The 15,160-nt window shown below is 46.2% G+C and overlaps 1 protein-coding gene across 2 annotated transcripts in view; it reads right to left on the bottom strand.

Moving 5' to 3' along the window:
• Positions 1-7,221: 7,221 nt before the first annotated feature.
• PARVA (parvin alpha) overlaps positions 7,222-15,160 on the bottom strand; it is a 158,921-nt gene continuing 150,982 nt past the window's right edge. For both annotated transcript variants that reach the window (XM_005253015.4, NM_018222.5), the window contains exon 13: positions 7,222-14,729. In XM_005253015.4, coding sequence (XP_005253072.1) covers positions 14,653-14,729 — 77 coding nt within the window. In that variant the 3' untranslated portion in view covers positions 7,222-14,652. The remainder of the gene's footprint in view (positions 14,730-15,160) is intronic.

Genomic DNA, 15,160 nt, shown 5'->3' with positions numbered 1-15,160 from the left:
TTGGATCACAACATTGCTGAGTCTTGTGTACAGAGTGTGAATGTGACACATTTCTACCACCTTTGGGGACATCCCTGGGGAGAGGCAGGATATTTGGTTTAAATCCTGGCCCTAAAGCTGCGGCATCCCTGGGCTGGAATGTAGAGTAACAGGGCTGCCCTGAGGAATGAGCGGGAACTTGATCTGCCAAAGGAGACGCTCCACACAGGGGCCACACCTGGGCCGGGGCTCGCTGAGGCCGGTAGTGTGTGCCTCCTCCACAGAGGGCCTCCCTGAGGTTCTCTTAGGGGAGGGAACTACGCCCTGTGCCCTGCTACCTCTGGTTCTATGCTCAGAGTAGCAGGGCATAGGACCCACGCAGGTCTGGGAAGCCTCATAACAATCCAAAGACCCCCTCTTTCCCAAAACAGCCAGAGGAAATGTGCCATCGTGCAAAGAATGTGGGCGTGGGAATCACACAGACCTGGGTTGGATCCCACCTCTGCCACGTGCAAGCAGTGCAACCTTGAGCAACTCACTTACAACTTCTTGGAGGCTGTTTTATCATCTGTAAAAACATGAAGTTAATCACACCTACCTCAGAGGGTGCTGTGATGATTAGAGAAAATGCTTACATACAAATAACATTCAAACATGTCAGCAGTTTTAATATCAGCCCCAAGAATGGAGGGAATGGGGGGTCAGAGGTCCCTGGAGCCAGCTTTGCCATCAACGGGCTCTGTGACCTTGGGCAAACTCTCTCCCCTCTGCAGTGGTGGGGCTAGATGCGATTATTTCTAAGAACGCTGAGCGTCCCACCTCCAGGATTCTTCTTTCTCTTTTCTTTTCAAGCAGCCCCCGTTCTGGTCTCAGGGAGGCAGGTTCTGAGATGGAGGTATATGAGCAGGTGGCTTACTGGGGAGTGAGCCCAGGAACAACACCAGTGAGGGAGCGAGAGCTCAGGGTGAGGAGCTAGGCTGTGATATGCAGTGAGGGTGGCCTCAACTGCTCCTACCTGGAGCTCTGGGGCTGGAGGGAGGATCTTGAAAGAGCCTCTTCCCTTCAGAGATGTCCAGATGGAAGAAAGTGTATGCACTGACTGTGTGCACCGACCAGTCCTTGGGTGCCCATGCAAGGGCGTGTCATCTTGGAGATAGGCTCACATCTTTCTTCAGCAGGGCCTATCATGCAGTGGGAGGCAGCTGGGGGTGTGGAGGGTAGGGAGAGAGGGAAGAATGAGTGCCTTGGCCCTCAGGGCCACCTGGGCAGGGGGTACCACAGCATCCACTGCACAAGCCCTTCCTGCTTCTAGACTTCTCTAGAGTGGAGATTCAGTCTGCTGGCTTCTCAGTCTTGGACCTGGCCTGCCCTGGCCTTCGCCAGCAGGGGAGAAATCAGTGTCTGTCCACGAATACTCATCCACTGTCTGCAGCTGCCAGGAATTCTGAAGGCAAAAGCTAAGGAATTCAAAGCATCTATGACTTAGCAGGATTGTTCCAAAACTGCAGACTTCTCCAAAGAGCCTTCTGGATTTCATTGTGAATGCTTCTCTCAGTTCTTAGAACATAGCCAAGGACTCCCGCCCCTCACTTTTCAGGGCTGTCCTCTGGCTGCTGGGGTCAGTGGGCCTTGGTGAGCTTGCCTGGGGAATGCGTGGGTGTTTGGAACCCTTGCCTTCCTGCCTAAAGGTAAGATGCTTGGAAGCTGGAGTCAGACAGTTCTACCCCTTTCTACAGGGTTATTTTGGCCACTCCACTTAACCTATCTGGGCTTCTTTGCTCATCTCTAACATGGACTTGGTACTACCCTCAGAACCTAGGGACGTGGCTTTTCTGGAGGCTAAAAACAGAACATCTTGAGCAGATAAACATGCTGCCTTCTGGTAAATATGTAGTTTGAGTGGTAGCTACTATCTTTCTATATATTTTACCTCCTGCCCCATCCCCAATCATAACTGATTGGTCCAGGAGTGGGCATTAAGAATTTATTTGGAGCCTTGTATTGGCATCCTGAGCTATAAAATTTGTACAAGGCTACAATGGCAAGCAGCTTTCCTTGTAATATTCCTGTCTCCCTCCCACTCTCCCAAAGACATCACTAGTCAAAAGGCAATGGGGAGAGTGCTGGGTTGATTAGTAATGTCTGCCATAGATATGTGAGGAGCAGAGGAAGCATGGTACTATTTGCCAACCCTGGCCTAAGGCTTGCAGGAATAACGGTAGCACTAGGAACCCCTACTGCTGTGGAGCTTTCAGGTTTACAGAGTGTCCATAGCCACACTATTGTTGAGCCTCTTCACCAGCCCTGGGTTGTGGAGTGGCCCTCCTCGGTGTGGGATGATTACTCTCATAGTTGGAGCATAGGTTCAGGAGAGAGGCCTGAAGATGGCGGGGTGGGAGACACTTCTGAGCCAGGCAAAATCAAACCAGGATTCAACAAGTGACAAGCCCCCCTTACATCCTCACTACCGACGGAGAGGCTCAGAGGTACAGTGATTTGCCCAGTATCAGACAGCTAGCAAATGCCAGGCTTGAACATAGGCCCTTTGCCCCTAAATCAAAGTTTTCAGGGGTTCTGGCTATCCTAATAAAATGTGCTTGCACTCTCTCCCCTGGGCTTCCCCTGAGTCGAGTCTCTAGCAGTGTAACCTGACTGCAGATTTTCACATTGGGAAAATCCAAGAGAAGAAACTTGCTGCCTGTGACTTGTTTTCTCTCAGTCCCTGGAATTTGATTTTGTAAAATGATCTCATAGGCTTATTATAAACATGCATTGATGTACATCTTCAACTTTTGAAACAGCCAGTGTGAGTAAAGCTGAGTCACGAATGGAGGAAGCAGAGCCTTTCAGTAAAGTCTATTCACATATGGGCACAGGCTGTGCCAGTGGAGCCGTGTGCTTCCAGGCAGGGCTCTGGGCTCAAGTAGGCCGTAAGTCAGGATTGCTGTCATCTTGCTTTTTCAGTCCCCTGTCTCTGGGTCTACTGGTGTTCCCAGCCACAGTCTCAGGAACCAATCTGCTGATGTGCAGTGTGGGGAGGTAGAGGTTCACAGGCAGGCAATAACTCAACAGCCCTGGAAAAGTTCTGTTATTAAAGACCTAGTATCTACCTGGAGCACCTGGACATTGTTTGATGACAGCACCCTCCTCCCTGGCTCTCTCATCCCTCTCACGGGCCTAAGCTCCTGCCTTCACCTGCCCTGCACAGCAATTGCCCAATGGGACTCAAAAAGCCCACTACTAATTCCAGCTGGTCCCCTGTCTGAGGCTGGCAGACTGGGCCAGCCCCCTCTGTGTGGTGCCATCTCCCCTGATCTCAAGCCCTGCTTGCTGCCTGTCGCTTAGCCCTACCTGCTGGAATCCTCCTTTCCCTGTACACCTGCCTGAACTGTGACCAGCTTGTGTGTTCCTGCCTATGAGACCTCAGCAAGCCTGGCTATTTCCCTGGGCCCAGCACTGGTCAGCTGGGGTGGTGCTGCAGACTCCAGCCTCTGTACCACCCATGTCCTTCCCTCTCCCCCCAACTCCAGTCCAGAAGCCGGGAGCTCAACCTGCCTCTAGCTTTCTACCCAGAGGAGGACAGCCCCCCAAGTCCCCACAAGGGCAGAGACAGGCCACTTGTTTGTTGGAGAGGAAGTGAGGCTTCCTCAGGCATTCATACCTGTGCCTCTTCCCAGAGTACTCCAAATAACCAAGTGTTTCGCATAAAAAGACACAGAGCATACCCTTAAAAGAATACTTCAAGGCTGGCACTTATAATTCTAGTGCTTTGGGAGGCTCAGGCCAGGAGTTCAAGACCAGCCTAGCAACATAGACTCTGTCTCTACAAAATAGAAATAAAGAATTAGACAAGTAGGGTGGCATGTGCCTCGAGTCCTAGCTGTTTGGGAGGCTGAGGCAGGAGGATTGCTTGAGGCCAAGAGTTTGAGGCTGCAGTGAGCTATGGTTGTACCACTGCACTCTAGCTTGGGTGATAGAGTGAGACCCTGTCTCTAAAAACAAACAGAAATGGAACAACTTCAGAGTTCGGATAAACCTCTTTGTTTAATTTCAGAGTTTCCTGCAATCAGTTAAGAAAAGCCCCACCACTCCCCCTCCGTCAATTAACTAGATAAATACATAAAGTCAAGAGGAAACAGTATTTGTGATGGTAAAAGGAATTTTGATTCACAGTTGGAATCAAACCTCGTTGACACTGATCATGACCTCACCTCTAGCCTGTGTGGTGTTGGGGAGCCAGGGTTAAAGGAATGTGGAGGCAGCAGGACATCCTGGAGAGAATGAAGACTTCAGAGTCAGACAGAGCTAGATTTGAAGCCAGCTGGCGAACCTCTGTTTTCTCTTCTGTAAAATGGGTAACTATAGCACCTACCTGACAGGTTAGCATCTACATGATGGATAGGTTTCTGTGCATGGTACATGGCTGGAGTCCAACAAGAATTTATTTCAAGTCTGTCTTTTTCCACTGGAGATCATCACTGAGTTGCGGTCTCCTGAGCAGAAAGGGGGTTGGCAGCCGGAGCATGTGTCTCTCTTGGAACACCCTAGGCTCTGGCAGCACACAGGTTATGCAAGGCACAACCGGAGGAGGAAGTAACAGGATCCTAGCAGTGACTGTTGTTGGAGAGGGTCAGACCAAGCTAAAGCTTGGAAGGAGATGCAGCCTGGTTCCATCTGGATCTGAATCAAGGGTCAGAGGGAAGTGTCAAGGCTTGGAAGTCACTAGAGCATAAGCGCATGAGGCTGAGAGCATGTCTGTTTTGTTTGCTGTGGATTCTCCCATGCCTAGCGCAGCATCTGGCATCATAGGCAGTGTTTAAATATTTATTGAACAAATGAAGAATAAATGAATTAGTGACAGCCTTATCAGTTCAGAGCCTGGTTGTTTCGGGAGTTCCATTTGAAAACAAGGCAAAGGAGAACAGCTGCTGGCAGGAAACAAATGTGGGAACCACCAAAGGTTCTGAAGATACACCATGTTTAAACGGCTAGAACCTCAACTCTGGAGCCACGTGGCCAGGACTCAAAGCTCTGTCACTTACAAGACATGGAACCTGGATCATGTCACTAAATCTTTCTGTGCCTTCATTATGTTTTTTATTTTTTAATTTTTTGCCTATAACATGGGGATAATAGAACCTACCTCACAGGATTGTTGAAAGGACCAAAGGAGATTATTTGTGTGAAGTGTACACTGTAAGTGCTCAATAAACACAACTGTTAGTATTAATTGAGAGGGATGTGAAATTAGCTGTGTTTCCAGAAGTTTTGGCAGGGAATACACACAGAATGGATAGCTTAAAGAGAAACTTCTTAATATAGTGATAGATTTTAGAGCATAGAAAGAAAAAAATATGGGGAAAAAAACCCTGCAACTAGTTAAGAGTCATTGCAATATCTGGGCATGAGAGGATGAGGCCTAGATTAGGGGACTAGTTGGGGGTCCACAGAGGGAGAGGACCAGTGCAAAACAGATGGTTCATGAAGGAGCAATTGGTAGAACTGATTGGATGTGTTGGGGGGAGCAGAAAATGTAGAACTCCTTTGTGGGTCTGGAAGGAGATGGTAGCTCTCGAAGAGATGAGGGATGTCTAAGAAGGAGCAGGGCTGGTGAAGGATAAAAATCCAGTTTGGAATGTGCTAAGGGGGACAAGGGGTAGCCCGCTTGAAAGATGCTGTGAAGCTGGACATGCCCACGCGGATGGGTGAGATCTTGGGGTTGGAGGGAGGGCAAGCAGGGGTGGAAGCCAGGGGACATGTAGGAAGAGACGTGTGGAGGGCACTTCCAGAGAACACCCATGTTCGGGGGTGGGGAGAGGAAAGACCTCCACCTAGGAGCACACAGAGCTATAGCCAGAGGGCGGGTGAGAAGGGGACAAATGCAGTGCCCCTGAGGCTGTGGCAGCCAAGTTCCTGGAGGAGTGGAGCAGGGGAGTGGGGCCAGGGCCAGCCAGTGGGTTCAGTGCTGACAACTCAGAGGACAACTTATCTTCTGGAAAATTAAAGGCAGAATCTAGGGGTTCATAAAAGAAGGGAGAAAGGAAGGAAATAGAATTAGCATGGGTCTGTATGAGACCAGGAAATTGCCTTAAGGAAAAAGTAAAACAGGGCAGAAGATGGAACTGCAGTGAGAATGGAACCTGTATGTGTTAGGAGTGAAAGTCAAGATGCTGGAGAAGGAGGGAGTCAGTCCTGGAGCAGGCAGGTGGAGGAAGTGGCAGCCTCAGAATTGGGGCAGGAGGTAGTGAGAGAGGCAGTGAGAAAAGATGTTGAGATGCTATGGAAAGAACATGAAGCAAATAGCTTTGACTTTCTTGGTGAAGGAAGAGATGAAGACATAAGCGGGGAGAAAGTGGAAGGACATGGGGATTAGGTAGGGCACAGGTGTATGGAAGATGAAGGCAATCCGTGAGAATTAGAGGACTCTCAGAAGCCAGGGAGCACGCAATGGCAATTGAAAAATGACAAAGTAATTGGCTGATGCATGTCCATTCTGGAATTTTCTGCAGTAATTTTATGTTCTGGGACAAGAGTAGAGATGCCTGCCAATGGGGATGACCAAACGGTGAGTTTAGAGAGGCAAGGAAGCTGTGTGTGAAGACAAAGTCGAAATGGCTGGCAGTAGAGCCTAGGCTGGACTTTGGGTCATTGCTGGTCATCTGGAATCTGTAGCATAAAGCCAGTGATTTCCTAGCAACAAGTAGTACTTTAGAAGAATGACCCCAAGTCTCCGTTTGGCTTTAGGGTGAGTTGTGTGATTTTTGGAGCAGCAAATCTGTGTGGAAAATGAAGTTGTTGATCCTGGAGGGAGATGCTCCCAAAGATTCCATGGCAGCTGTGGCTGGGGTATTTTCTGGAAGAATCTAACTAGGGACCCTCAGTGGTATCTGATGCTATCTCATCATGTCATTGAATTACCTCAAATGAGCTGCACCTGTCATCCCCACTAAGATGGGAGAGTCATTTGGGAAGAGACCCTGGACTTTCCCAACCCATTTTGTGCGGAGACTTTCCCAACCCATTTTGTGCAGAGAGTGGGGTTGAAGACAGAACAGACATTCCACAAATATTCGCTGACTTGACTGCATTCTGATTGTGAGAGGTTTGGGGTCCAGCCCAGGGCAGTGACAAGAATTCTTGTCCCATGGTGTTTGGAGTTCCACTTCATCAGTGTTAGGGCGGGTCTGTGCTGCCATGTGGGAATTGGAATCACATGAAAAGAATGGGAGAGAAAGCTCTGTATCTTATTGACAAAGCACACCAAAGGGATGCTGGTCAGAAAGCCATTTAATCCATAAACACAAAGACACATGAATGGGCAAATTCTGTAAATGAAAGCAATCTGGCAAAAGCCCTTGGTGGTGAGCTTGGTCTCCCTCACAGGCAATGACAGTCTTGGCCATGGGTCTAGACAACACACAATTCCAATGCAGCCTAGGAGGACATTATGGAAGTGAGCTGGGAGAACCAATGATGCAGAAAGTAGACTCAGGAGAGGCACAGAGAATGCACCCCCTGCCCCAAGTGCAGTGGATCAGAGAGCTCAGAACAGAGAAGAGATGAGGAGCTCATGGCCTCTCGTAGCCTAGCCTAGAGCACACTTACTGCTCACTATCTTATTGTCCATCATTTTAAGTCAAACATCCCCAGTTCAGTGAGAGTGTACATTCTCCAATATTACACACATAAGGAAAGATGGGGTAACCCCTAAAGCCTGAATGAGAAAAAGCTTCCAGGAGCTGTTTTTCAGATACACCAACATATATTTGCCAAGGGCAGGCACTGTGTTTCTCCAGGCAGGCGGTAAGGCCTTTGACAGGGTTTCCAGGAAGACACATAGCAGCCAGAGAGTTGTGCAGCCCCAACCCTGGCTCCACACAGAGCAAACATGTAACAGATTAAATATTTATCTATTGTCCTGTCTACCTCAATAAAATATCACACTCCTTTAAGCGGTTGCCTTAATGACATTTGTGTGTCTTGGAATGACAGCCTGTGCTAACAAATTGCATCTCAAGATGTGAAAACATGAAGATCAATAAAAAGAAATGAAAAGTCTGCTTCATTGATAAAACATCATTTATCTTAATAATGGGTACTTCTCTGAATTTCCCAAGTGCCCTTCCAAATGCCAGTATCAAAGCCAGTGCCCACATGTGTGTAGAAAGTTCAGGAGGGTTCAGGGGAGTTGAGGCAGGAACACAGGCTGCTCAGCCCAGGGGGTCCACCGAGGAGAAGCATCATTCTGGGCCAGTCACCCACTGGACTGGTTTCCAACCAAGGAGATTTCAAGCGGGGATTTCCAAGCATATTTCTGGAATTTCAAAACTTCCAGTGAAAATAATATACAATTGACCCTTGAACAACAATGATTTGAACTGGGCAGGTCCACTTGTTCATGGATTTTTGTTTTGTTTTGTTTTGTTTTTTTGAGACGCAGTCTTGCTCTGTTGCCCAGGCTTGAGTGCAGTGATGCGATCTCAGCTCATTGCAACCTCTGCCTCCTGGGTTCAAGCAATACTTCTGCCTCAGCCCCCTGAGTAGCTGGGATTACAGGCACGCACCACCACACCTGGCTAATTTTTTGTATTTTTAGTACAGACGGGGTTTCACCATATTAGCCAGGATAGTCTCAATCTCCTGACCTTGTGATCTGTCCGTCTCGGCCTCCCAAAGTGCTGGGATTACAGGTGTGAGCCACCGTGCTCGGCCCATGGATTTTTTTTCTGCCTCTGCCACCCCTCAGACAGCAAGACCAACCCCTACTCCTCCTCCTCCTCCTCCTCCTCCGCCTACTCAATGTGATGACCATGAGGATGAGGACTTTATGATGACCTGCTTTCACTTAATAGTAAATATATTTTCTCTTGCTTATGTTTTTCTTAGTAACATTTTTTCTCTAGCTTACCGTATGGTAAGGATATAGTATATAATGCACATAACATACTAGCTATGTGTTAATTGACCGTGTTCAGTAAGGCTATTAGTATTATAGTTACGTTTTGGGGGAGTCAAGTTACATGCAAATTTTCAGCTGCTCAGGGGTCGGTGCCCATATCATTCAAGGATCAACCGTACTTTCATATGAAAGTTGTTTCACCAAACATTGTGAAACATTAAGTGACCCCCTTTTGGTAGATTTTATATAATGTGGTGGGCATTGGAGCAGTTATAGTTCATGCTGATTAGTATGAATTTTGAAAATGTATTATTCCACATCCAGGAGGCTTGCTTATAGTTTGTCAAGCCCACAGGCTGAATGGTGGGATTCCTGCTCCTGCCGTTGGTAAAACAGGAGTCCTCCTCCGAGGTGAGAGGGCTGGAAGCACTGGTCTCCATGGATCAGCGTTCTGGCCTGGTAGGCCCCTTATTTCATTCCCTCCACACATGCAGCCTCGTCCACTCTGTCCAGTTCCCCTAGCTCTTCTCAGGACACATTGTGGAGAGGCTGGGGGTAGTCCAGGAGTTCCTGTCCATCAGCAGCAGCAGGTTAGGAGGAGCTATGGGATGCCCAGAGGTTGCTAAGACCAGATTGGTGTTGGGGTGGGCAGAGGTCTGATCTCCTCTCCTGGTCTCCTCCGCTCCCCAGCCAGGACCATGGTATGACATGAGAAAGGCAACCCCAGACTCCATATTGCTGACGTAGCTTTCCCCAGAGTTTTCCTACACAGTGGGACATTTAAAAAGGTAGATGGCAACCTGTTTTTCAAAGGAGAAAAATCAGCACTCCCGATGCCTGCGATCGGATCCGTCTTCTCCCTCATTCTGTGTCCTCTAGCCATGCTGGCTTTCCGCACTCCTCTGGGGAGCCAGGTCTTCTTGTCTGGGGATCCTCCTCCGTGGTGCGCCCTGGAGTGGCAGGCTTCTCATTGGAGTAGCTCCACGACTGAGGGATTACTTTAAAATGCCACTTTGCCGGAGACTTCTCATGACCTTAAATCTACATTAGAACTCTTTCATAGATTTTAGTACTTCTCCATCGCGACAGTCACAATTTGTAACTAACGTCGATTCATAGTTATTTTTCATCTGTCTCCCCTGCTAGCTATAATCTCTCACTCACCCTTGGACATGCTGCACTCAACACATACTTGCCGAATATATGACTAAATGAAGTCCTGAGTTCAGAGTACTCATCCTAGAAATTTCTCAGGGGACAGATACATCCTGTGATCAAACAAGATTGGGACCCATCGTACCCCGTCTTCCCTTAGAAAGTCCTAATACGCATTATGTAGGGGACTCTGAGGTGCGCTCCAACTAGAAAACAAAAAGCGTCAGTAAGCTAACTTTCTTCACCTCATGTTTCCTAAACATATTTAAACGTGACTTTTTTTTTCATCTAACATTTACTAATATCCTGTAGAATTTATTTTTAAGAGATGCTTTCTTGCAGGATCCTACTGGGAAGCCTGAGGTTCTCAAGGTCATCAGGCTTGGTTTGGGGGCAGCACCCTCATGGCTGCATTGCTGTTGTCATGAACACGTGAACACGCATGCACACGTTCACATATGCGACCACCACTGTAGTAAAGCATGGGCTATAAGCAGAGTTTGGAGCTAGCCTGGGGTTACAGTTTTCAGGGAGCAGAGAGTAAAAACACAGTCGAAACTCTGGTATTTGTAAATGTAGCCTTTGTAGTTAGGATTGTGAGTAACTCATACTGACTTTTCTTTTGGTAAGACCCAAATCTGCAAGTATTTGGGAAGCTGATGTGTGGAGGCAGGTCCCATAGGTGGTGAGTCAGTCTACCTACCCTACCCGGCCTTGCAGCTTAATGCAGCTCTCTTGTTTTCAGCAGCTGCAGCAATTCTCTTGGATTTTCCAATAGAGTTAAGCAAATTTTTGGGGGAAATGACACGCAATCTTGGAATTAGTGAAGATTTCAGGACATATCCCTCTTGCCTATCTAGGATGTATTATAAAGGTAAGATTCCTGAGGTGGAGCTCTATTAAAGGCAGCGGATCTCAAATTAGTTTTGATCAGCCTCCACTTAGGCACGGCAAAACTGTTTCACCTACCGACTCCATCTAGTCTTATTTTCCAGTGGAAAAATAAATGAGTGATAATTTGTGGGGAGTGGATTATGTATACATTTGTTCTAGCACTGGACTATGGATGATTCCTATTTGAACCACAATGTATACATGTCTCAGAGTCTAGTTATTGAAAAATTACAGCTCCAGAATACTGTTGATGCAAATAAGCTTCAAGTATACTCTGTAGGGTTAACCAAGCAACCCACAACAAAACAAACTGATGATAATGCAAGCTAACAGTAATTCATAATTAAAAAGCACCAATAGCAGCAATTGAAAATTGCAACCAACTCGAGGCAACACTGATGATGTGCTGATAAAGAAGCCTTCTCCCAGATCGGGAAATGTCATCTCTGTGCCTGCACATGTGAAACTGGAGCCTTCTAATATAGCAGGCGAGCACTGCATTGCTGGCAGCTAGACTTTATAGTACAGTATTATAGCGTATGTAGTAACCTTTGTGATGCTTAGTGGATTACAAATTCGTAGTCCTGGTAATATATAAAAATGAAACCTTCATCAATCTGCATACAATTCACCATAAGGTTCCAAAAGAGGACTTAAAAACATTCGGTTCGAGGCACATGAGGATGCCTCTGATAATGTGCCCCAGCCTCTGGTCCTGCACCCCATAGGTTTTAGACTCTACTTTTGAAATCATTGTCTAGGCAGCCTTTCCTCCTTCGGCTAGGGCTTTTTTCCTTTCCTAGCTCGAGCAGACTGGAGATACGCATTTGGATTTATGAAGTGCTCAGATTGTTATTTTAAAATGTGAAAGGAGTTCTTTTTAATACCCAGGGTAATACAATATCCAAGATATAACATTAAGTGATAAAAAACAAAGTGTATGACAGTATAGATGACATCCTACTTATATTTTTTGAAGCCCGCAGATTTTATATGTATGTTTGTGCTTTACATGCCTAGAGTATCTCTGGCAGTGTGTGTAAGAAATGGATCAAAACAGTTGCCTCCAGGGAGAGGTAATGGGTGCCGGAGGAGAGAGGGAGGCTTAGGTTTTCCACTAGATACCTATTTGCGCTTTTTAAATTTTGCACCATGTATGTATTAAGCATTAAAAATAACTGAGTTTAAATTAACAGAAAAGAAAAGAAAACCCAGTGAGCCTATGAAGTGTTGATTCTCATTTTGGTTTCTTTTTTCTTTTTTTTAAAGATGAAGATTAAGTTTGTTTTATTTATTCTTGATTCCTCTTTTGCCTTTCAAAGTCATGGTCATATATTAAGTAGGAGATTCCAGGTTCTAAAGTAAAATATCGAACTGAGATGACAGCATTAGAAAACCAGGCCCAGGACCTGGGATTCTGGGCTGAGACAAAGAACTCAATCCCAAAACACAATTTTCTGATAAATTAGAACTGTTATTTAAAAACTTTCCTAGTGTTCCAATGTATTTTCATACTGTATATATGTAAAATACAAAAGGAGCACTCTTAGTAAGGATACTTGTACATTTGTAACTTGAATATAAGAAAAAGAGACCAAAAAAGAGACAAAATTCATAAAGCAAAGCATGTTTAAATGAATGCATTCCTCTTACTTCATCCTGCTTCAGTATTGCTCAAGAAAATGAAGCAATTATTTATCTTGATTTGCTACCAGGAATTTTTTTAAAAGCAAAAGAAATATTACACTATTTAGTGTTTCCTAATAAAAAATAAAATTTCACTAATTATGTAAAAAAGAATTGTATTCTTTTACATAGATCAACACAAAACAGTACATTGCCTTTGTATGTTAAATGCTCATTATGCTGAGTGACAATTCTAAGAGCAAAGACATGTAGTTATCTAAATTTTATGGGTCCTCAATTACTGCAGATAGACAGTACAGTAAGAGACAGTACAGTAAGAAATAAAAAGGCTGAAAGGAATGTTTTGGACATTATAGGAGGCCTAACTTTGGGTGGTGTAGATACAGATCAAAATGAATTCTCAAACCAGAGATGGGCTTTGTGGAATGGGCCTAAAGTAGTGACAAGGTAGTCACAGACTTCTGGAGGAGGGTACTTGGGCTGGTGTCTACCTGGCATATTTAGGAACATTCCATAACGAGATGTAATATCAGCACAATTGATTATTTAGCCCAAGGTCTCAGTCAGTTGATGGCTACAAGTGTTAAGTACCACAAGCCCCACCTCTATCTCTGTATGTTTAGAGTGCAAATATTTTCCCCATGCTTCTCGTCCCCTAGTCACTGCCCACCCCCCTCCGCCCTTCCCTATTCTTACAGGACTTAGCAGGCTGGCACACTAGAGCTCTGTCTTTCAAAGTCAAGTTCACATAGAGGAGATACAAGTAACCACAAGCCCTTGAGTAACCCACGCAAAGAAACTGCTTGGCTTTGGTCTAAATGACTTACATTTTTCCTCGCTTGAATTAGCCGGTAATTACATGTGGGCAGACTTAGCCAGAATAGTCTAAATGATCAATTAGAAGGCAAAAAGAAGTTCCTTTCTTTAAAGTTCAAGGGTCCCTGTTGAAGAGCCCTACTTCCAAAGTGATGCTCACATGGGCCCGTGCCCAGCTCTCTGCGGTGCCTGAGCATATTGTACATTTGCTTAACGATAATGAATTTAGTACTTATTTTGCAGGAAAATATAGGGCATTTCCATTACATGCAATCAAGCAAAAAGGCTGCAAAATGTGCCACTCCATTAATTCTAAACAAAATCCTTCCCAAATGTCACCCTGAAACCAAAGTACAGAGTTATTATAAATCTGAAGGAATTAAGAGTAATTTTCATTTGTACAAAGGATGTGAGGGACATGACTCCTGCCACACACACACTATTAATTGGGTTAAATCCAATTTGCCAATTTCAGTGTGAATCACTAAGCTCTGACCTAGCTTGCCCCAGTGGTGAGATCAGTGGGTTCTCGTGTTTTTGGCTCAGGTGTACATGTGCACGTGCTCAGATGTGCACACACATACACAACTTTAGAACATGCAAAGAACATAATGTAATTGGCTTGTTATAAACATGTTGTACTGTCTACTATTGAGGAATGCATACTTAGCTAAAAAGAAAAGCAAAACCTTGATGATTGGACTCAGAATAGTGGTTACCTTTAGGGAGAAGGGAGAGGTTATGTTCAAAGAGGAAAAAAATTCCAACTTCTGGCAAGTCATTTAACCTCCAAGCCTTAGTTTCCTCATCTGTAAAAGGGGAATGAAACACCTACGTCAATGGGAGTCCTGAAGATTAATGGCCTTGAGTATATCAGAGCAGAGCACTTAGTGTGGGGCCTGACACACAGTTAGCATCCTTTGAATGGTAACTAGGATCTTTATTTTCATCTTGTGGGGACTCTTTTGCCTAAGCTGGTTCCCAAATCATGGAGGGAAATCTGGACCTGGCACCGGGAAGGGAACAACCTTCCCAACCTTCATTGCTAGGTTGGTCCCCAGCGCCTGGGAGGGATGGGTCAGCCCACTGAGTTATTGATGATTTCCTTCCTAATTTCAGTTTCCACTATCTCTGGGTTGCAGCTGGACTTGTGGGAGAGCACAGTGCAAGAGACAGGAATAAGCAGGGTAAGGCAGTTCGGAGGAGGGTCCAGTACGCCAACAGCAAGAACTCTTGGGCAGTGGTGGGCCCAGGGCAGCCCCTCACTCCACGTTACGGTACTTGGTGAAGAGGTTGTACAACACTCGTAGTGTAGATTTCAGGTCACAGTTGACTATGTCTGCGTAGAAAACAAAAAACACCAATTGTTTCCATGGGGCCACATGTTCCAAAGCTGGCATACACTGCCCCTCCCTTCCACCCACCACCCAATCCCATGTACCCAGCATGTTCGGGGCAGATGGGTAGAGTGGGCAGCGAGAATTCAGAGCAGGGGGCAGTGAGGGTAGAGGTGCTGGGGCACAGCATCTCCAGATAAGAAGGCCTGACCCTCCCCACAATCCCCACCTGTCCCAGGGGCTCTTTGCCCACTGCCTCCAACCTCCATCATAGAACCAACCATGGGTGGTGAAAAGGAGGGGAAGGCCTGGGGCTGCAGTGGAAGACCAGGGGGTGCATTAGGACTCAAGCTGCCTCACAGAAGCTTGCCTAGCAGAGAAGGGGGACTTGCAAGGAGTACTCAGGAAATAGGCGTCATGGGGGACAGACAGG

The sequence above is a fragment of the Homo sapiens genome, chromosome 11, assembly GCF_000001405.40.
Source record: "Homo sapiens chromosome 11, GRCh38.p14 Primary Assembly".
NCBI lineage: Eukaryota > Metazoa > Chordata > Mammalia > Primates > Hominidae > Homo > Homo sapiens.
Note: the sequence above shows the minus strand (reverse complement) of the source record. Positions and strands in the feature narration are given on the sequence as shown.